This window comes from Homo sapiens, chromosome 1 (assembly GCF_000001405.40).
Source record: "Homo sapiens chromosome 1, GRCh38.p14 Primary Assembly".
Taxonomy (NCBI): Eukaryota; Metazoa; Chordata; class Mammalia; order Primates; family Hominidae; genus Homo; species Homo sapiens.
In genome coordinates this window covers 199,233,356-199,257,622 of record NC_000001.11, presented here as the reverse complement: position 1 = coordinate 199,257,622, position 24,267 = coordinate 199,233,356, and the positions used below count along the sequence as shown (strand labels likewise).

Sequence of the window (24,267 nt, the reverse complement as noted above, 5' to 3'; positions counted from 1 at the left end):
AGGAAAAATGCAGTGTTTTTCACAAAAACAAAAGCTGAGAGAATTCACCACAACCAAGCCAGCACTATAAGAACTGCTAAAGGCGTTCTAAATCTTGAAACAAATCTGGAAACACATTAAAACAGAACCTCTTTAAAACACGAATCTCACAGGACCTATAAAACAAAAATACAATAAATAAATACATAAATAACCCCAAGGTTTTCAGGCAACAAATAGCACAATGAATGGAATAGTACCTCACATCTCAATACTAACATTGAATGTAAATGGCCTAAATGCTCCACTTACAAGATACAGAATTGCAGAATGGATAAGAATTCACCAACCAAGTATCCCCTGCCTTCAAAAGACTCACCTAAAACACAAGGACTCACATAAACTTAAGGTAAAGGGGTAGAAAAGGACATTCCATGCAAATGGACACCAAAGTGAGCAGGAGTAGCTAGCTATTCTTAAATCAGACAAAACAAACTTTAAAGCAGCAGCAGTTAAAAAAGACAAAGAGGGACATTGTATTAATCCGTTTTTATGCTGCTGATAAAGACATACCCGAGACTGTAATTTATACAGGAAAAAGGGTTTAATGGACTTACAGTTCCACGTGGCTGGGGAGGCCTCACAATCATGGCAGAAGGCAAGGAGGAACAAGTCACATCTTACATGGATGGCAGCAGACAAAGAGAGAAAACTTGTGCAGGGAAACTCCCCCTTATGGAACCATCAGATCTCATGAGACTTATTCACTATCATGAGAACAGCTCAGGAAAGACCTGCCCTCATGATTCAATTACCTCCCACCAGGTCCCTCCCACAACATGTAGGAATTCAAGATGAGATTTGGGTGAGGACACAGCCAAACCATATCAGACATTATATAATGATAAAAGGGAAATATCACAATCCTAAATATATATGCACCTAACACTGGAGCTCTCAAATTTATAGAACCATTACTAGTAGACCTAAGAAATGAGATAGACAGCAACACAGTGATAGTAGGGGACTTCAATACTCCCCTGACAGCACTAGACAGGTCATCAAGACAGAAAGTCAGCAAAGAAACAATGGATTTAAACTATACCCTAGAACAAATGGACTTAACAGATATTTATGGAACATTCTACCCAACAATCGCAGAATATAAATTCTATTCTTCAGTGCATGGAACTTTCTCCAAGATAGACGATATGATAGGCCACAAAACAAGTGTTAAGAAAACTGATATTATATCAAGTGCTTTCTCAGACCACAGTGGAATAAAATTGGAAATCAACTCAAAAAGGAACCCTCAAAATCATGCAAATACATGGAAATTAAATAACTTGTTCCTGAATGATCACTGGGTTAACAATGAAATTGAGATGGAAATTTAAAAATTATTTGAACTGAATGATAATAGTGACATGACATATCAAAACCTCTGGGATACAGCTAAAGTGGTGCCAAGAGGAAAGTTCATAGCATTAAATGCCTACATCAAAAAGTCTGAAAGAGCACAAATAAACAGTCTAAGGTCACATCTCATGGAACTGGAGAAACAAGAACAAGCCAAACCCAAACTCTGCAGAAGAAAAGAAATAACAAAGATCAGAGCAGAACTAAATGAAATTGAAACAACAAAAAAATACAAAAAAAAAGTAAACAAAAAGCTGGTTCTTTGAAAAAATAAATAAAATTGATAGACCATTAGTGAGATTAACCAAGAATGGAAGACATAAGATCCAAATAAGCTCAATTAGAAACAAAATGGGAGATATTACTACTAATACCACAGAAATACAAAAGAGTGTTCAAGGCTACTATGAACACCTTTACATGCTTAAACTAGAAAATCTGGGGGAGATGGATAAATTCCTGGAAATATACAACCCTCCTATATTAAACCAGGAAGATATAGAAACTTGGAAGAGACCAATAACAAGCAGAGAGATTGAAATGGTAATTTTAAAGTTGCCAGCAAAAAAACGTCCAGGACCAGACGGATTCACAGCTGAATTCTATCAGACATTCAAAGACAAATTGGTACCAATCCTGTAAACACTATTCCACAGGATAAAGAGGGAATCCTCCCCAAATCATTCTGTGAAGTCAGTATCACCCTAATACCAAAACCAGGGAAGGATATAACAACAAAAGAAAACTGCAGACCAATATCCTTGATGAACATAGATGCAAAAATCCTCAACAAAATACTAGCTAATGAAATCCAACAGCATATCTAAAAGATAATCCACCATTATCAAGTGGGTATTATACCAGGGATGCAGGAATGGTTTAACATCTGCAAGTCAATAAATGTAATACACCACAAAAATGGAATTAAAAACAAAAATCACATGATCGTCACAATAGATGCAGAAAAAACATCTTACAAAATCCAGCTAGACAAAATCCAGCATCCCTTTTTGATTAAAACCTTCAGTAAAATTGGCATAAAAGGGACATACCTTAAAGTAATAAAAGCCATCTATGACAAACCCACAGCCAACATTATAATGAAAGAGAAAAAGTAGAAAGCATTCTCTCTGAGAACTGGAAGACAAGGAAGACAAGGATGCCTACTTTCACCACTTCCATGCAACATAGCACTGGAAGTCTTAGAGGAATCAGACAAAAGAAATCAAGGACATCCAAATTGGCAATGAGGAAATCAAACTGTCACTGTTCACTGATGTTACTGTTGTATACCTAGAAAACCCTAAGGACTCACCCAAAATGCTCCTAGAACTGGTAAATGAATTCAGCAAAGTTTCAGGATACAAAATTAATGTACACAAATCAGTAGCTCTGGTATACACCAATGGCAACCAAGCTGAGAACCAGATTAAGAACCCACCCCCTTCTACAATAGCTGTAAAAAGAAATTAAAATACTTAGGAATATACCTTACTAAGGAAGTGAAAGACCTCTACAAGGAAAACTACAAAACACTGCTGAAAGAAATCATAGATGACAGAAACAAATGGAAACACATCCCATGCTCATGGATGGGTAGAATCAATATTGTAAAAATGACCTTACTGCCAAATGCAATCTACAAATTCAATGCAATTTCCATCAAAATGCCACCATTTTTCTTCACAGAACAAGAAAAAGCAATCCTAAAATTCATATGGACCCAAAAAAGAGCCCACATAGCCAAAGCAAGACTAATAAAAAGAACAAATCTGGAGGCATCACATTACTCAACTTCAAACTATGCTGTAAGGCTATCATCACCAAAACAGCATGGTATTGGTATAAAAATAGGCACATAGACCAATGGAACATAATAAAGAACCCAGAAATAAACCCAAATCCTTACAGCCAACTGCTCTTCAACAAAGCAAACAAAAACATGAAGTGGGGAAAGAACACCCTATTCAACAAGTGGTGCTGGGATAATCGGCAAGCCACAAGTAGGAGAATGAAATTGGATCCTCATCTCTCACCTTATAGAAAAATCAACCCAAGGTTGATGAAGGACTTAAATCTCAGGCCTGAAACCATAAAAATTCTAGAAGATAACATTGGAAAAACCTTTCTAGACATTGGCTTAGGCAAAGACTTTATGACCAAGAACCCAAAAGCAAATGCAACAAAAACGAAAATAAATAGATGGGACTTATTAAACCAAAAGCTTCTGTACAGAAAAAGAAATAATCAGGAGTTAACAGACAACCCACAGAGTGGGAGAAAATCTTCACAGTCTATACATCTGAAAAAGATTAAGTGTTTTCTATATTCTAATAACCAGAATCTACAAAGAACTCAAATCAGCAAGAAAAAACAAACAAACAATCCCATGCAACAGTGGGCTAAGTACATGAACAGACAACACTCAAAGGAAGATATACAAATGGCCAGCAAGCATATGGAAAATATGCTCAACATCACTAATTATCAGGGAAATGCAAATTAAAACCGGAATGTGATACCACCTCACTCCTGAAAGAATGGCCATAATCAAAAAGCCAAAAAATAATAAATGTTGGTGTAGATGTGGTGAAAAGAGAAGACTTTTACACTGTTGGTGGGAATATAAACTCGTACAACCACTATGGAAAACAGTGTGGAGATTCCTTAAAGAACTAAAAGTAGATCTACCATTTGGTTTAGCAATCCCACTACTAGGTATCTACCCAGACGAAAAGATGTTATTATATGAAAAGATACCTGCATATGCTTGTTTATAGCAGCACAATTTGCAATTGGAAAAACATGGAACCAGCCCAAATGCTCATCAATCAATGAGTGGATAAAGAAAATGTGATACATATATATATACACACATATATATATACACACACATATATATATATACACATACACACACACACACACACATATATATATAAAATGGAATGCTACTCAGCCATAAAAGGAATAAAATAATGGCATTTGCAGCAACCTGGATGAAATTGGAGACTACTAGTCTAAGTGAAGTAATCGAGGGATGGAAAACCAAACATCTTATGTTCTCACTCGTAATTAGGAGCTAAGCTATAAGTTCATAAAGGCATAAGAATGATACAATGGACTTTGGGGACTCAGGGGAAAAGGTGGGAGGGGTGAGGAATCAAAGACTACACATTGGGTACAGTGTACACTGCTTGGGGAGGGTGATGGGTGCACCAAAATCTCAGAAATTACAACTAAGGAACTTATCCATGTAACCAAACATGACCTGTTCCTCCAAAACCTATTGAAATAAAAAATAACTTTTTTTTTAAAGGAAGGTATGGCCAATAGCATTCATGTGACTAAGAAATGGGGAAGGCTGTGAAATGTTCATTTAGCAACATGAAGATGGTTGTTGAGTTGTTTCAAAGTAATATAACTGAAAGCTGTTTTAGAGTATACATGAGACAGAAAGCCAGATTTCTGTGAGTTGAGAAATATCAAGCCTGTGATATTAAATATTTTCAACTCATTTAAGAAGTTTGGCTGTGAAAGGGAGATGAAGGTCCAGGAGTTCGAGACTACTCTGAGCAACATAGGGCCAGGAGTTTGAGACTAGTCTGAGCAACATAGCAAGAACCTGCCTGTAAAAAGAAAGTTAAGTATTATTTGGGCATGGTGGCAAGCATCTGTCATCCTAGCTACTCAGGAGGCTGTGGTGGGAGGATGGCTTGAGCACAGAAGTTTAAGGCTGCAGTGAGCTATGATTGTGCCACTGCACTCTAGCCTGGGCAACAGAGTGAGATCTTGTCTCAAATTGATGGATATATAGATGACAGAGAGAGAGAGAGAGAGAGAGAGAATAGAAACAGATAAACAGATATAGATAGATAAATAGATAGATAGATAGATCGATCGATCGATAGATAGATAAACAGCTGAAGAGTTTGAAAGGTAGACTCTTCTATGAGAAAATCTTGTCCATATTTAAAAGCCCCTGGAAAGCAGCCATTACAAAATGGGTTTGAATATATATACAGGAGACAAGGGATAATCAACAGATTATTTCTGAGAATGCTGGGGTGATATGATCTAAGGTACAGAGGAAAAAATTAGCTTTAGATAGTGGCACAGGGACTTTTATTTCTGGTACCGATTTAAATCAGTATACATATCAAAATACATTTTATGTCAATTTTGATTTCCTCTGTGTCTAAAAAGTAATGTAAGAGAAAGTTCTTTTACAACTTATATATGCTGTAATTTTTTAAATTACCTTTTTAAAATATAGGTTTCAGATTTACTGAATTGTGATCAGATTTACTGTATTCTATACTGTATCTGCTTGGAGAATGTTTTGAGATATTTTTGTGATCTAGTAAACTGTGTTCAATATCTGGGACAAATGTGCATTTGCAAAGAAGGTATTCAGGCAAAAAGTTTGATATATAACAAACAGACCTACGTCGTCATTACTTAACTTACCTCTTTCTACAGGAGAGGCAGTTGTAGTTAAGAGAGCAAACCATAAAGACGTTCTCGTGAAGTTCAAGTTGCTAACTTTCCTATTTACTATTTTACCTTGAACAAGATAGTTGACCTCTCTGTGTTTTATTTTCCTCATCTTTAAACTGGTTGTGATTAGAGTTCTTGCCTCATTAGTTTTTTAAAAAGATTAAATCCATTAGCATGTATAACCCACTTAAATTCATGTTTGGTGCATAGTAAGACTTAAAAGTGGTTAGATAGTGTTACTGTTATCCTTGCTTCTAGTTGAGTCCTTGTTCTTCATGGGTTTGGAAAAGTGAATTAGTTTCCTACAGGTACTGTTTCTCTATTTTAGCTTATTAGTCCTATAATCTTTGTTTTATTAATGCCAATGCTATATTGTGTTGTGTTTTGGTATTCGTATTCAGTGTACTGGTTAGAAATGTAGGTATATATTTAAAACTATTGTGTCTTCATTGTAAGGTGCTCTTTGTTTGATTACATTTTGAATTCAACCCTGCCTATCATTAGATCCATGACTCCTGCTTTCCCCCTTGGTGCATTTGGCTATGTCTTTATTCACCCTTGTACTTCCCAACTTTCTGATCACTTGTGTTTTATGTGCAGCATGCGTACACAGAATGTAGCTTGGTCCTGGCTTTGGAAGCTGATATAAGGACTGTTTACTTTTAATATTATAGTTTAATCAATTCACATTGATATTACACTACTTTAGTCTTTATCCATTGATTTTAATTTATATTATTCTATATTATTATTATATTATTCTATATTATATATTATATTCTATATTATAATTATATTATTCTTTCTGTTTTTACATATATATGAAAAATGTGATATATATATATGTCAGAATCAGTATGTGGTCTGTTTATTTAATTAGCTATACCCTTATATATTTTCATTGCTGATTTAGATAAATTTTAATCTTGTTCTACTAGTTGCCAACATCGCCCTCCAGCATGAGCTATCACTATGAAGATATATGAAGCCCACTTAATTATTTTTCCCTTATAAGTGACATATCTTTTTGTCTGGATATTACAAGAATTCTTTAATTTTGAAGTCCAATAACTTCATTAGGATATGCCTCGGCTTTGATCTTTTTGTGTCAGGTTTTCCTCTGACATGGTAGGCCCTTTTATTTCCAGAGAGTATCTTTGAATTATATTTTTGATTTTTTTATTTTTGATAATTTTGGTTTTCTTCTTTAGGGGTACCAAGTATGTAGATGTTAGATCTCCTTTATTGGTATTGTATATTTACATTGTCCCTTGAATCTTTTTTCAGTAATGGTCGTCTTACCTTGTATTTTGCTTGTTTTCATCACTGCCGTTCATATATGTATTACTGTGTTTTCAGCTAGGTTTATACTCCATTATGTTGTTTCCAATGTGGGCTTCAACTCTGTAACAGTTTAATTTGTTTTCTAAGCCACTTCTTTCCTAAACTTTGCCAGCTTATGTTATTTTGCCGTATCTTCTTTGAGTTCTTGTACCTCTTCTTGTTTTCCAATAAAGTCTATTTCATTAAAGGTTTTTTCTATTTATCGCATTGAATTTAGTATTATATTTGTTATAGTTTCTACTTTATGTCTTGATATCTTTCTTCCTTTATTTTTTAGTCATTGTATATAGATCCTTAATTCATTCCTTTTATTTTATATTTTAAAAAAAATTTTAAATAAATTTTATTATGCATATTTGAGGATTTACATAATGATGTTATGGGCTATATAGCTGGTAAAAGGATTACTGCAGTGAAGTAAATTAACATATCTATCATCTCACATAGTTACTTTTTTGTGGCAGTAGCAGCTAAAATCTACTTATTTAACAAAAATTCCAAATAGAATTTTATTACTTATAGTCCTCATGTTGTACATTACATATCTAGACCTGTTCTTTCTACATATCTGATACTTTTTGTTCTTTGACCTACATCTCCCCATTTTCTATCCCAACCTTTTACCCCCTGGTAGTCACTATTTATTCTCTATCTCTGCATATTTGACCTTTTTTAAAGATTCCAAAAATAAGTGAGATGAGGAAATATTCATTATGTGTCTAGTTTATTTCACTTAGCATAATGTTCTCCAGGTTCATCCATGTTGTGGCAAATGACAGGATTTTTTTCTTTTTTAAGGCTGAATAATATTCCATCGTGTGTGCTTGCTTAGTCCATTCATCCACCAGCAGACACTTAGGTTGTTTCAATATCTTGGCTATTGCGAATAATGCTGCAATGAACATGAGAGTGCAGATATCTTTATGAAGCAGTGATTTCATCTCCTTTGGGTATACACTCAGAAGAAGGATGTCTGGGTCATACAGTAGGTCTATTTTTATCTTTTTAGGAATCTCTATACCACTTTCCAAAATGGTTACACCAATCTACATTCCCAATAGCAGTGTACTAGGGTTTCATTTTCTCCACACTCTCATCAACATTTATGTCCTGTCCTTTTGATAGTAGCCACCCTAACAATTGTGAGGTGATATCACATGGTTTTGATTTGCATTTTCCTCATGATTAGGGATGTTGAGCACTGGCTGGTTCCTTTTTGATTAGTTTGAAAGTGGTGAGTCTTTCTTGTAATAGCAAGAAGTCCTCTTAGTCTTCTTAGCCTTTACTTGTCTTGGCCACCAGAGATTGGAGCCACCTTGCAGATTCCCTCACCTTCATCTCTTTGCTTCCTAACTGCTATTGCAAATGGGGCTTCTTGTATTTCTTATTCTCCTCTTCCTACCAGCTTCTTTGTCATGCTAACTGGGTTCAGAAAAACTCCAACCATCAGCCAGTGCTCACAATTCTCTTATTTTGAAAAAGAAAAGTATTGGCCCTCAGTAAATGTCACTTGCTTGAGAGATTTGTGTCTTACCAGTTGTATCTGAGATATGCAATATCTGACGTCCTCTAAGGATCCTCTTGCATTTCAGTTTGTCCTTTATTAAGTTTGGCAGCCTTTTTATTCACATATTATGATTTGAGATTACCACTGTCTCCTAATTTCATCAAAAATGGAGCTTGCTTTCCAAATTGCTTTTGGATATGTTCTAAAAGAAGAATAGGAAACTTCAATCTTGGACCATGTTAAAATCAGATGTTTTCTGAAATTCTTGAAGCCTCTTATCAGAACGTACTCTCTGTGTCCATTCTGTGGTTCACCTTAGAAAAGCATTGTCCACATCATTAATTCTGCCAGGAAATGTATAGTTTCTTTCCTTATGAAAACTGCTCTGGTTCTTTTTATTTCTATTCATAAACAAATAGTCTTCACCATATTACCATATTCAGTTTTATGGATATTTATTATATAAATACAAATTTATTCTTTTATTAAAACTTTTTGTGTTTAAACATTGCATATTTTCTTAGTGATGGATTTTAGTCATGAGTCTATTTCAATCAAGTCTAAATTGTACCTTTGCAATGGCATCTAATGAGATTCATTTCCTTTTCTATATTGTTTACTTTGTTATCTGACTTGAGTGTATTTGTCTGTAGACCTGTGATAACATTTGTTCCCCATATTTCATCATCTTAATGTTTATGAGAAATTCCTGGATCTCTCCTTCATCAAATGACTTCCTTTTATAGCTATTTCTATTGTCCATATTTGCATTTTTATCTGTTTATTTCTCAGCTCCACACCTAAGTTCATTTCAAATACCTTTTGATCAAGCTAGTACATGAAATAATTTGTCAGACACATTTTTGCCAGCTTCTTGATATGCACTCATGCAACTCTTGCCAACAGTCTATGCTTATGGTATTTGTATGGTATGTTTCAAAAATCATATCCAGCTCTGCCACACTACATATGTAGGCAGTCATTCACTTTAATTTTCTACTAAAAATGTAAATATCTTCAGATACATATTTCAGATCTGCCTACTGTTATTCCCCATGAGGAATAGCAGAAATGTATAGTAATTAGTCTGTTAGATGTATCATGGCAGAATAGCCATAACACTTCAGACACTCTCTTTAGGAGGAATATCAGTCAGTTATGACTGCTTTCATATCTGTCACTAAATTACCATGACCTCTCTCCATTTGGGGTAAGCAGCAAGATTCTTCTCACTTGTTGCTAGGGCTTATGACTATGGTATATTATTTTGAATGACTGGAGTTCAACCAGAATGTTATAACACACCAATGTGTCTGATAGAGCTATGAAAAAGAAGTGCAGTTACAGGTAGCAAATGATAATGGTGCATTACATGTTCTCTTTGCTTAAGACAAGGCATGCTTTAGGAGATCCACTTGAGGATGATGGTTTCTGGCGTGCTGGAATGAGTAAATAACTAACTGCCTTAGAAGGCAAGAGGAAGCTCTTTCAGAAAGTCCAAAATCATTGTTCACAGGGGTTCCAGATCCATTTTTTAATCCCAGTATCTTCTAGTTCTCTGCTGAGTAATGTTATTTCATGTGTTCTTCAATCACTAATGTTTTTCTTGATTTTTGGGTTTCCTCTTAAATTATGTTTTCATTTGGTCTCAAATCATTATTGTCTCCTCCTTAATGAACCAAAACAAAGGAATATTAATTAGAGCTTTTCCATTACAAATGCATTCTCTTGTGTTCGTAGTGGATATAATTAGTAGTTTAATTCAGGCAGGGACGTAAACAAAGTACATACCTTGTACCACACTACGAACTTTAAATAGTCATTTCTTAGCTATATACATTACTGATACCCTCTGCAAAACAGCTCCCATCCTTTACCTCTGCAAAATGCCTGGAGGTATAACTGAAAATGGATTTTGGTAATAGCTATGCAGTAATCTGATGTGGTAATCTGATGCCCTACTCATGGAGAGTTCAATTTAAATAATTTAAATGATTATCTATCGCCAACCCTTTGCTCACATCTGGTCTAGTAGTACATTAGATTAAATGAGCAGGAAGAGATCTTTGCCTTGACATAGGAAAAATCTTACTAAACCAAGAAATACTTAGGTTAAAGAAAATAGAGCATTGAAAGGAATATAGTTTCAATCAGAATAGTTAAAATTAGGAAGATAATATTGAATTTAGGGGCACAAATGCATTATAGAAAACAGAAACACTAAAAGCAGAAAAGTAAAAGATATGGAAAACAGCAAGGCTTATCAAAGTTTACTTGTTGCAAGTCTTTTTTACAATTATTTTATGAGTAATTTTATATTATTTTTATGTCATTTAACAAGGGATTATCATTTTCTTATGAAATATTGCTTATGATAGAAAACAAGTCAAATTCTTACTTTTATCTCCTTCCCACTTTCCATGGAAAATTAAATTTATTTTCCTTTCAAGTTCTTCTTTCCCCTTCTGTGCCTTCCCTCTTAGATAATGATGCACTAGCTTCTTCTACATTACCTGACATTTTTCTAGTAAAAACAAACTTCCCATTGATTAAAATTCCCTTAGAGATGTTTTTTAAAAAACGAGTAAGTTTAAGTGGGTGTTTCTCCCATTTTTCTCCAGGTGGAGTAACTACATTGATAGGCCGTGTGGCTTCAAGGTAATGGCATTCCAGCATGTCAGGTGTTGCTATGGTGCTGAGAATCATATTCACAGGCTTCCTTTTCATGACGTCTTCATCTCTGATCTTAGATACACTACATGCATTGCTAATTTACTCCTGGCTGCACACAAACATCTGCATGTTCTCAGTTTTTCTCTCCCCCTACCTTTAAGAATGCCCATCATTCTTCATCTTCAGTTATTAATGTAACTCATTATGTGCTTCTCCAGCTGTCCTCAAAATGTATGCTGAATAAGACATGAGGAGGGAAGCTTAAAAAAATAAGATAGCTTTTCCAATCTAGGCAAGTCATTAGATGAATGTAAGTCAGAAAAGAGAGGAAAATTTTCCATACTATATAGTTGGCTTTGCAGTATGAGATGGATAGAAAGATACAACTTTATTCCAATATTATTATCGATGGTCACATACATTCAGTTTCAGAAAAAGTTTCTACATTTCAAGTGTGTTTTCTAAATGATGGGATTAAGTAAAGAAGATTGCCCCCATCCCCAGAATTCTATAGACTTATAGTAAGCATTATAACTGTTACAAAATGTCTAGATATTAAATTCAGTCATTTGCTTTCAATTGTATTTTTTTACAGATATATCATTGGTGAATACACATACATGTATCACCATGAATGATAATGGCATCTAATTTTAGGTGATGATTTGTTTCATAATATTTCACATATGGGTGCTTTACACAAAAATATTAAAGAACTAGAAAACATAGGACTTCTCACTGCATTCTTCATTATAATGTAGTATATTACTCTTATGTATGACAACCATCAACACAATTGATGACCACATATGTGGTATAATTTCACTAGATATTTGAAGACATCAGTATCTCCCTGCTGTCTTTCCTTACCCAATGGTTAGGACCAGAAATTTCAGTGTTGAACTCTCTTATTTTCCCCTTTAGTTTGTCTTTCTTTCTATTCGTCTTCCTTGTTTCTTTTTCCTTTATGTCTTCAATTTAATCATTTACTTTTAAATTCTTGTTTGTTCACTATTCATTTAATGAAAATCAGGGACTTTGCTAGGAATACAAAGATAGTACTAATAAAAGATTTTATATGTATTCACCTATAAATTCTACTGGGAAGATTTTCACTAATCTGAGCGGGTATCAGTAACTGACTCCTCAGTATGACCAAAGCACCCAAAAATAGGTTTAGAAAAAGGGTTATAGAAGAATGTGAAGGTTTTGGATGGCTGAGTACGAGAAGGCATACCAAATATGGCAACAAATAGAATTCTAGGCACTGAAGATGACAATCAATTTCACCTGTTTGTCCAAAATTGACTCCATATTAGAAAAATCTAGATCATTTAACATCATTGCAACCATTTCTTCATTTAATCATTTTTCTAAAAACTTATACATATACATTCCCTCCAGGAAATTTCAGTTATCCAGGCTTAGTGCACAAATATTTAGATTTCTTGGCAAACATTCTTTTCTTTTATTCCTTTTTAAAATGAATATTTATTTATTTATTTATTATAGAGACAGGGTTTCACCATGGCCCAGGCTGGTCTGGAACTCCTGAGCTCTGGCAATCCACTGGCCTCGGCCTCCCAAAGTTATGGGATTACAGGTGTGAGCCAACACACTCGGCCACAGACATTCTTTTCACACAACATAACTGTCTCATGTCTATTTATTTCTAACAATGACTGCATTGTTCCCAAATAAAAATGCCTAACTTACCATCTAGAAAATATCACTCTAGCCCTTTTGCTTACTTTGCAAAGTTAAAACAGTATGTTGCAAAGATTGACCAGGACACAGATTGGAGGATGACTTGGAGAGAACAGAAACTGGAAACGCAGAAGCAATTGAAATACTCATTTTTCAGACTTAAATGCCACCTCTTTTCATCCTATCCTTGTCTTCCTTTTGTCAGGCAGATAGGAACACATATTTCTCTAATTTCCTTTAGGACATGGTGAGATAGATGTCAAGCTCTCTTTATGTTTTGTGTCGATATTCTATTCATATTTATTTAACTATGTACAGTTGTCCACGATCTACATCAGAGGTAATAAAGTATTAATTTTACACTATGATAGTGGTAAAGGAAAGGAATTTATAAGTGGAAATGAGTTTGGGAAAGATTGTGAAGGAAGGATTGACAGAATTTGATCCCTGATTATATGCCAGGTGGAGGGTAGGGAGAGCAAAGTTTTATAATAAGTTTTATGCATAATGTCCTGGGAAAATAGTGGTACCCTATGAGCAGAAGTGGGGACAAGATGTTTGTTGGGAAAATCTTAATACCGATCTGGACACAGTCAACATTTGGCAGAAAGGATTAATGGACTATTTGGGCAAAATTCAGAAATGGAAAGCTCAAATAAGATTCCCCATCGTCAGGTGTCCTTTTTTCTCACCCGGAAGCCGGGAGGAGAAGGATCCATGTTCAAGGCTCTCAGGCTTTCCTCTTTCTTCAGCAGAGGCCGCAGCTGCCTTTGCTCGGCCCCCATGGAAGCCTTCACTTTCGCCTTGGTGCCTGTCTGCAACATCTGAGCAATGCCCAGATCCTCCTCCAGATGGTGCTGCTGCCTCCTCCACTGCCACAGGTGCCCAGAGCCTGTGCTGCAGCCATGCCACTCCTGGTGCTGTGGACAGGGCCTGGGCGAGCTCTTAGACCATGAGGTGCTCTCCCGGGCCTCTACTCCTCTACCCCTTTGGGCCTCGTAAGATCCTCACGGGAGCCCTGGAGAGCAGGCTGAGGGGAGGGTGAAGGCCCTGACAGGTGATGACTTCTCTGACCAGATAACTGGGCTCTTGACTTTACAGGGGGCTCTAGAGCCCCCCATGTGACCCCAGCTAGGCTCCCTCCATTTTCCCTGCTCCCACATGACCTGGAAGCCATGGCCTCCCTCCTGAAGTAGGAGCTGGGACAGATGGAAAACTTTTACTTTGATGTCCCAATTCCCCCACCACCTATTCCCATGGCCACCACAGCCACTGGCAATGCCTCTCCCTCTCCCCCTCCCCACCTTTGACCTTCTCTAACCTTCTGCCTTGTATACCCTTTGCAGGCCTCTCCTGCCTCAACAAGCCCTGGCAGGGGAACGGGCTTGATGCCCTTGTCCTCACCACAGTAGCCTCCTCTCCTTCCACCTAGCCTTCTAGCCTGGTCTCCTACCCCAATCCTGACACCACCCAAGGGTACCACATGCAAAAGAACAGAGACCAGAGGCTCTGAGGGGACCACTAGAAGAACTGGGCAGAGGGGGAGGCCCTGGGGGACAAGGGCCATGTGCTGGAGTCACAGAGCAGGAGCTGAGGGAGAGAGCTGAGTCAGCCAAGCTGGAGCTTAGGAAGTCAAGGATCTGCTCACCAAGCCAGTGGACTAGTTTCCAAACAGAGGACCACCACAGCTAGGTGGGCAGGGCAGGGCTTTGTGTTGTAAGGGGAGCTGGTTTTCAGCCCTGACTCACTTTTGGTTTTGTGTTGAGGTGAGAGGGGCCCCTCTATCATCCCTTTGTCTCCAACTTAATTCCTACTATCACACCCTTGCCTTTTTTGGGGGCAGGGTAAGCAATGTCTGACCGTTTTGCCCAGGCGTGTCTCAAACTCCTGGGCTCAAGGCATCTTACCTCTGCCTCCCAAGGAGCTAGGACTACAGGGTGCATACGCCCCTACCTCTGGTTTTATCCATCTCTCCTCTCCTGTCCCTTTCTGAACGTGGTTCCCCTTCCTTCCTCAGAATGGTGGAATGTTTGGCCTCGGTCAACATTTACACTACTCAAATAACCCAGGAACTAAGGTACACAGGGACTGCAGAGAGCAGGACAGAGCTTGGAAACTTGATCTCTTGAAATTCAAATCAGTGGTTTCTTGCAAGTTGTTTTTGGTGGGTTCTGGAGTGGCTGTGGGATAGAATAAGGAAGTAGGGCCAGGAAGCTATGCAGATTTACTATGCAAATGAGAATAGGAAAGCTGCCTGGTTATGTAAGTCAAGGAAGGTTGTAAGTCAAGGAAGTAAGAATGGAACCCAAATAATGAAGCAGAAATTCAGGCCAAGTGCCCTTGGGGAACTACCTTTGGAGAGGGAGCCAAAAGATGGTCAAGTTCACAGAGCAGGTGAATATACAGGCAAATGAGGAGAAATGGGCAGGGTTGAGAATGGCCATAGTTGGAAACTAAGTGTTCATTTTAACTTTAGGAAATCAGCATTTTTTAAGGTGATGGGGTAGGGGTCTGCATCAGGTGCGAGGGTAGCGATGGATCCTTTGTGAGATTATGAACAGAAATAAAATGAAGAGTTTCTTTTTGAGAAAAAAATCAAATTATAGCAAAAAGGATTATGTCAGGGAGTTTTGGAGTGATAAACTACAAAGAGTTATCTTCAGCTGTTAATTTCAAAGCCAGGTTCTGTGAGTCCCACTGGTACAATTAAAAGATACCTAAGTCACAACTACAGAGAGATGGCAAATTGTATATTGCAAGCTCACAGTATACTAAGTGGTAGAATATGGATTTGAAAAAAGATAATTTTGTGTCTGAATGATGACAGTTTTATTGTTTTTGAAATTTCTTTAAAAATTAGTAAGCTGTGTGTATTATGTAGTCTAAGCTCTATAATCTTTAGTTGCTCACAAGTTTATATTATGTGAAAATATTTTTTAAAATTATTACTTGATAATATATTATTAATATTATTAAATGAGAATGCTAGTAGTTTAAAGCAATCTCAAATGTTTAGATATTAAACCCTTTATAAATTGTAACTTCCCATTTAAACAATTAATCCTATAAACTTCAGCCAAAAAGTTTTGTTTTCCGTGTAAAGGTTCTTGGTTGCAAATGGCAGAAACCAATGCTGCTTATCAGAAGTAGTAAAGAAAAAGAAAGTTGAAATGATGTATAGTACCTTGCATAACCAATAGAAAGGCAAGAGAACACATTACAGAAAATTGTGTTAGAAATAATTGAGGCTAGGCACCCAAGAAGTCAACCATCCAGTGTCACCACTATACTAATGCTGACTTATTGCTCCCAATTTCACCACTGTCACATAAATAATGTCTGTCTGTCTTTTCATCTATGTAGCCTTCCCTTGAGATTTAAAGATTTGGTCAAAAGCCTAAGCCACATACCTGTCCTTTAATTAACAGGGAATAGATAGAGAGAACCACCTCCTTTCATTTGATTTCCAGAGTGGGAGATAGGGCCCTGTCTCCACACCATTTGGAGATCCCATCAAAATAAGAAGTGTTTGAATGTTGATTAGGCACATCTCAACAATTTGGAAATGAAGTTGTATATTAGTTGAGACAAGTGCCTTTTCTAAGAAATCACTGTCAAATATTAATTATGAATAGCTTGGAGTAACACAGCCTAATAACAAAGGAAAGTCTAGCATCTAGGTCTCTGGACTCTCTTTCCTTTTTATCATGTTACCCATGTTTATCCACATCTTTATGGTGTATAGTAAATATAATACCAATTACAGTGCCTGGCATGGAACATGTACTCTAAAAGTTGCTCCATTTTTCTCTCTTCTCTGTTTTGAATGCTGACTTAAGAAATGAGAGTTTTCTCATGCATCTGCATTGAAGATTATATTTTATTATACTTCTAATATAAATCTTTAAGAATGACACATTTGAAATTGTCACCTTACATTTAGCATCAGCATAAGCTTATGTGTCAGTGAATGAAACAGGATCGCTAGGAGAACTTGGAGTAATCAGCTGTTTTAGGCATTAAAGCAGATAACTGGTTTCTTGCTTCACTTGTGAGGAAAAAAAAAAGCTAGGTCTCTCAGTTTGAATACATGAGTGCATCTGGTAATCTAAGAAAGTTGAAAATTCAGGTAAGTTCTGAAATTCTTATTCTATTCAACTCAAAATAACTATATGTTTTATCATAGTTTTGCCCTCTTTTGCAAAAAAAGAAGAGACTTTAAAACTTGTGTATGAATAATTAAAATTTAGTTTGTATGATAAACAGCCTCAACATTATCATCAACAACAGAGATATTTACTTGTATTTATTTTTTGTAGGCATTGTGCTGGTGGCTTGCATAAGCATGAGACAGGTAATTTCCCTCGACTGTTTTAGTTATAGAAAAGCTATCCAAAAGGTAAAGGCAGTGCAAAAAGGGAAAAAGCCAGTGGTCTTTTCTTTGTTAAATATGCACATAAACACATATATACCTACCTACACACATAGATATAAGTATTAATACATATTATTCCTGTATTTTACAATATAACTAAGAAAACAAGAAAGAACAATGTAACACTATGTCTCCACTACATAACAGATGTTTAAAAGATTTTTCAATGCTATTTCCATATGTCATTCATTGATATAAATAAATGATAAAAGGTGAAAATGTTTCCTTCTTTAATAACTTCTGCAGATTAGAACAAGATGGCAAGAGCAGGGTTTTCATGTTCCCTCACATCCCCCCATTAAAACAAATAGAACAACTGGAATAGGATAGCAAAATTAAAAATAGTTTTTGGAAAATCCACAACAAATTTACAATGAATCTAAAGCAAAACTAAGATATCTCTGTAGACCTTACAATATAGATGCAAGGGCCAAACTACTGACAGCAACAAGACCCATGTGTCAGCAATTGTGTGCAGGATGGAGAGGTGAAGCAAAAGGACTTCAGATGATTGCCAGAGAATGCCAAATAGGCCAATGAGTACTCAACTGGAATTCTAAGTGAACCAACGTGAGAACAGCAGTCAAAACTGGGAAGGGGTTTTGCAGGCTCAAATTAACAGATGAATGCAAGGGCATTGTGGTAAAATTGTATGGTGCTTGGTCGGTCTAGGTGTATGAACACTTGAAATTAACCTAGCAAAATCCCTTCTAGGTTAAACCCCTGCACCAATCAGAAACTACCAGGACTAAGAGCTGCATTTAGCAGGATAAAGACAATAGGGGCAAAGGAGAGAGATGGTCGAGATATAAGTGAGAGAGAGGGAGAGGGCCAGCGTATCTCAGAAAGTATGCAGTCATATTTTTAATACTTCCTAGAAACAAAAGCACTAGAGGGAGGGAGTGCTAGAGCCATAAAGTTAATTAAGCCAACCTTGCCCACCCTCCCCTCCTGATAATAAAGGAAAGCTCATCTTACTTATCCGTGAATAATAGAAAAGGTCTGTGGTCAGATATTGTATATAATTATAAAAAAGATATGCCCATATTATGTTTGAAAAGTGTAACTATTTCAAAATTAGCTTAAAAAATTAGGAAAATTATAGAACTATAAAATAACAGCATCAATGAGAATTAGAAAACTTAGATATTAGATTATGGGGAAAAATTATTTTAAAAGGCTAATGAGGTATTGAAAATAATTAGAAACAATAGAAAAATCATTTTGAAATGAAAACTAAATGATAAGGAGCATCAGAAAAAGTAAACACAATAAATTATGTCTAAAATATATAGAAGAAGGGTAGGAGAAAATTTTGTTTTAATTTTAAAAAAGACAAGGAAGAGATATGGAAGATTTGAGAGAATGTAGTAGATGTAAAAAATAAGCCAATCAGATGCAGCAAATGTATGCAGGAGTCACAAAGAACAATACCAACAAAATAGAATAGCATCAATACTAAAATTATTACTCTATACATTGTCGAAAATAAAGACTTAAAACTATATATAAATAGGAATAAATTTAACCAAGGAGACAAAAGACTTATACACAGAAAACTAAAAAGCATTACTGAGATAAGGATGACACAAATAAGTGGAAAGGCATTTCATGGACTAAAAGTTTATGGACTGGAAGACTTAATATTTTTAAGATGATAATACTCCTTGAAGTAATGTATCAATTTAATACAATCTCTATCAAACTCTCAAGGATATTTTTTACAGAAATAAAAACTTATCCTAAAATTCACATACAATCTCAAAGGACCTCAAATAACCAAAACAATTTTGAAAAAGAGCAAAGTTGGAGGGGTCACACTTCCTGATTTTAAAAGTTTCTACAAAGCTACAGTAATCAAAATAGTGTGGTACTGGCATAAAGATAGAAATGTAGATAAGTGGAATAAAATACAGAACTCAGGAATAAACCTTGGCATATAATGTTGAATTAATTTTCAACAAGGGTGCCAAGACCATTCAATAGGGAAAATGGTAGTCTTTTCAACAGGTGGTACTGGGAAAACTAGATATCCACATGAAACAGAATGAAGTTAGATCCTTGCCTTACAGCATATAAAAAACAGTTCAAATAGATCAAAGACCTAATATATGAGCTAAAACTGTAAACCTCTTACAAGAAAATATAGGGGAAAATCTTTATGATATTGGATTTGGTGATGATTTTTTGGATGTAACACCAAAAGCACAGACAATTAAAGAAAAAATAGGTAAGTTGAGCTTCATCAAAATTAAAAACTTTTGTGCATGAAAGAACACTATCAAGGGAGTGAAAAGTCAACCCACAGAATGGGGGTAATATTTGCAAATCATATATCTGATAAGGGATTAATATCCAGAATGTATAAAGAATTCCTTAAATTCAACAATTAAAACACAAACAAAAGACCCAATTTAAATATGGACAAAGAATTCAAATAGACATTTCTCCAAAGAAGATATACAAATGACCAATAAGTAGGTAAAACGATGCCCAATATCACTAGTCATTAGGAAAATGCAAATGACAATCACAAGACACCATCCCACGCCCATTAAAATGGCTTTTATCAAAAGAATGGAAACTAACAAGTGCTAGTAGGAATGTAAACTGGTACAGCTGCTGAGGAAAACTGGCGATTCTTCAGAAAGTTAAAAATAGAACTAACATATGATCCAGCAATTTCACGTCACCAGATACATATCTAAAACAATTTCTAGCACTTTGGGAGGCCAATGCACGCAGCACTCCCGGCACTTTGGGAGGCCAACGCGGAAGGATTACTTGAGGCCAGGAGTTCAAGAACAGCCTGGGTAACATAGCAAGACCCTGTCTCTACAAAAATAAAAAGAACGGTGTGAGTGCCTGTATTCCTAGCTACTTGGGAGGCTGAGTGGGGAGGATCCCTTGAATCCAGAAGTTCAAAGCTGCAGTGAGTTATGATCATGCCACTGCACTCCAGCCTGGGTGACAGAGCAAAACCTTGTCTCTAAAAAGAAAATTAAAAATTAAAAAATAATAAAATTGAAAGCAAGGACTCAAATGAATAGTTGTACACAAATATTCATAGCAGTATTATTCACAATAACCAAAAGGTGGAAGCAACCCAAATATCCATCAACAGATTAATGGATAAAGTATAGTAAAAGCATGCAAAGGACTATTACTCAGCCTCAAAAAGGAGTGAAATTCTGATACGTGCTACAGTGTGAATGAACTTTGATGAGATTACCTAAGTGAAATAAGCCAAATGGAAAAGGACAAATGTTATATAATTCTTTTAGAGGAGGTACCCAGAATAGGCAAATTCATAGAGACAGAAAGTAGAATACAGGTGATCAAGGTGGATTGCTGAGTAGAAATGGGGAGCTTGAATGGTAGAGAGTTTCCGTTGAGGATGATGATGAATAAGTTCTGGGAATGGATAATGGTAATGGTTGCACAGCATTGTGAATGTACTTAATGCCACTGAATTGTATACTTAAAAATTGTTAAAATGGCATATTGTAATATATGTCTTACTACAATAAAATAAAATATACGTATTAGGTATCTAATAAGAGATAGAAATGTGGGATTAAAATTATATATAAAAATTCCATGTCATATATCTGGGAAAATCAATCCAGAATGGATCAACATAGAGATATGTTTTGGTAAACGGTTGGACTTTACAAAAAAGAAAAGAGGCCTTTGGCACTGTGACAAAACAAACAACTGATTTATTAATAAAAATAACCTAGATTGTTATCAGATTTTTTAACAACAATCCTTTATGCGAGAAGAAAATGGGGAATTTTTTGAAGAAGGAGAAATAAAGTGTGACTCAAAGTCCTTTTTATTTCCAGCCAAACTGAGCTTAAATTATAAAGTCTCCTTATAAACTAATATGACCATATAAGAACTCAGAGAATATTGTTCACATAAGCCCCTTCTGAGGAATCTTCTAGAAGATAAATTTGAAACAACTAGAAGACTGGAACAATTTAGCCCTAAGGATTGGGAGAGAGTGGAAGGATTCATTCAGTCTCCCAGGAGTACAAGAGAAGCTAGCTGTCACATGACAGCAGAGAATTGAGATAAGTCCCTAAAAAGTACATACCAACATAAAAGTCTATATGTTCCAGAGTGAATTATAGGATTTCACACTGGAGAGCTCTTTTTATTTATTTATGATATAGGCTTTTAAGAACCCATTGAATTAGGTTGCATGACATCTAAGGATTCATTTTCCATTTCAGGAATTCCTTGTCATTTTAATTTTAGTAAATATTTCTTCTTTCCCACAAAATAGGGAAAGAGATGCTCTTAGGGACATAGTGTTTTCATAGTTTAATAATGGACCTTTAGATTAAATTCACCTTGTTATTTATCATAGCCTTCACTAGAAACTCAAGCTTTAGCATATAATTTTATGAATTCCTTCTGTTCCCCATATCTCTAAGTATCTCCTAAAAGGCCTCAAACCTCCACCCTTTTAGGCCCTCCCCTCACTTTCACTGTGTTCTCTGGAATGCATTACCTTGTATCATCTTCAGTTCCTTGATCTCTTGGTATTCAATAATATATTTTTTCCTCCTCAGCAACATACACTCAGCATTGTAACTTTGTCACATATTCTTCAAGTTCTCTATCCGAAGCTTCCCGTTCTAACAGCCACCTCTGATTGTACGTCACTCAGTCCAGAATTTTTACTTCAGCAATGAAATGTTCAAGTCATTGATCCCACTGCCATGATAGTCTCCATCTCCCCCTTTATGTCCTTATTAGTTTAGACTCTGATTATTTATGTGTTTATCCAGCTTGCTCTTCTTTTCCTTTTGTCACAGTCATATGATAAAACCCCAAACCTAGTTAAGCCTACCATATCTGCCTATCCTGTCAATGCACCAGAGCAGATGAACACTGAATAAAAATTACACAAACTCTTACTACCTAGTCCTAGAGGAACTTCTCACTAGCTATCTATCTCTCTTATTTCATCTCATACAATTTTTTTCCATCACTTTCTAGACTACATTGGCATTCCTTCTGTTCCATGAACAGATCATTATAAGTCTCATCTTTGGAATCTCTAGCTCATTCTCACTTCAGGGCTTTTATACTTAGCCATTCTCTCTGCTTTACATGTTTCTCCTTATCTTGTCATGACTGCCTTTTTCTTGACATCTAGGGATGAGTTCTGAGATCATCTTCCCAGAGAAGTCTGTCCTAGCAACCTCATCTAAACTAGCCACCTACTCACTCTCTATCATATCACCGTGTTTTAATTTTCTGCTTAGTTCTTATTGTCATCTGATCATTGTGTTCCTTTTAAGCATTTGTTTACTCCTGTTTCCCTGCTCAGAATGCAGCATCCATGTGGATAGGGACTGGTCTTTTATAATGTGCTGAAATATCCCTAGGTCATGTAACTATGTAGCAGGATAGATAATTCTTGAATTTCTGAATGAAAATATACAAGCTCATGAGAAGTTTGTATAAAGTCGGAATTACAACTCATTCATTTACCGTAAGAATATTATCAAAGAGAACAAAATTTAAAGTAACATAGTGTTTTCATTTTCATTCATCAGGCTAGCTTCAGAGTCAAGTTAGAATTAGAATGCTGGTTCATTAATTTGAAATGAGAAATAATCATCACAGAGAATGGACTATCGTGATACATCTGCTATCAGGATTTTTTTTACTAGTGAATCTAAATGAGAAACAATGAAAATCAAAAGGTTTGTTTTTGAACATGGAATTAGGATTAAGAGAATTAGGGGAGGATCAAATAATGTAATGCCATCGAAATAAGAGATAATGTCAATATTTTTACAATAGAAGTGGTCTTGCCAATCTTGAAGTGCTTGAGGATGGTTTGCTAAACTTATAAAACAAAGTGTTTAATTTAAAATTAAGATTTATTAAATGCTACATGCTAAACACTGTATTAACACTTTAGATGAATTTCCTCATATAAGCCTCACAACAAAACTAGTTTTGCATATTCATAGTAATTAGAGTTTCAATAGGAAGCAGGTTTTACCCCAGATAATCCATATGGAAAGACTCAATGAAGGGCCTGCTTCAGAGATGTGGGCTTGCTTAGGGAAACCAGAAAAGGGCAGGCGTAATGATGTTTATTTTTTATTTACCAGAAGTTATTGATTTTTTTAAAAAATTAATTTAATCAATTTATTTTTATAGCTTTTTTGTGTCTTTTTAAAGAAATATTTACCTGTCCCTAAGTACCTGAAGATATTTTTCCTATTTTTTCCAAAAGTTTTATTGTTTTACTTTTGTGATCTGTCTTGTAGTAAGTATTATAGTGCCCTTAACAGATCCTATTTTTTTCAGATCAGTTCATCTATCTATCTCAAGCTGCGTATTAGTTGCCAATGGCTCAAAGACTCACTTGGGAAGTTATACCTCTCCCTCAAACCATGGCAACAGCAAATAACTCACTCATACAGCTGTATAAAATGCCAGGTTCCTTGACAAAGGAAAGGTAATGGGGTAATACAGTCTATGCTTCAGAGGCATAAACGGTGGATCAAGTCAAGGCTAGACTTTACCTAAGACTATATCCTTGTCAGGTTTTTTACTCTCCCTTAATTTGCTTCAGTCTCTCTCATACTTTTCTTTTTTTCTGGAGACCACTCTATCAATAAATCTCATGGGATAAATCATGATGTTAGTCTCTGCTTCTAGAGACCTT

The 24,267-nt window shown here is 35.8% G+C and overlaps 1 long non-coding RNA gene across 1 annotated transcript in view, besides 3 other annotated features; it reads right to left on the bottom strand.

The window, feature by feature from the left end:
- LINC02789 (long intergenic non-protein coding RNA 2789) overlaps window positions 1–24,267 on the bottom strand; it is a 244,710-nt gene that overhangs the window by 135,685 nt on the left and 84,758 nt on the right. The gene's annotated exons all lie outside the window — the stretch shown is intronic.
- Window positions 13,850–13,939: an enhancer, noted in NCBI's record as "active region_2293". NCBI's record gives its function as "activates an Ori minimal core promoter by ATAC-STARR-seq in GM12878 lymphoblastoid cells {active_cell/tissue: GM12878}" and the evidence as "EXISTENCE:reporter gene assay evidence [ECO:0000049][PMID:35858748]".
- Window positions 13,960–14,069: an enhancer, noted in NCBI's record as "active region_2292". NCBI's record gives its function as "activates an Ori minimal core promoter by ATAC-STARR-seq in GM12878 lymphoblastoid cells {active_cell/tissue: GM12878}" and the evidence as "EXISTENCE:reporter gene assay evidence [ECO:0000049][PMID:35858748]".
- Window positions 14,110–14,209: an enhancer, noted in NCBI's record as "active region_2291". NCBI's record gives its function as "activates an Ori minimal core promoter by ATAC-STARR-seq in GM12878 lymphoblastoid cells {active_cell/tissue: GM12878}" and the evidence as "EXISTENCE:reporter gene assay evidence [ECO:0000049][PMID:35858748]".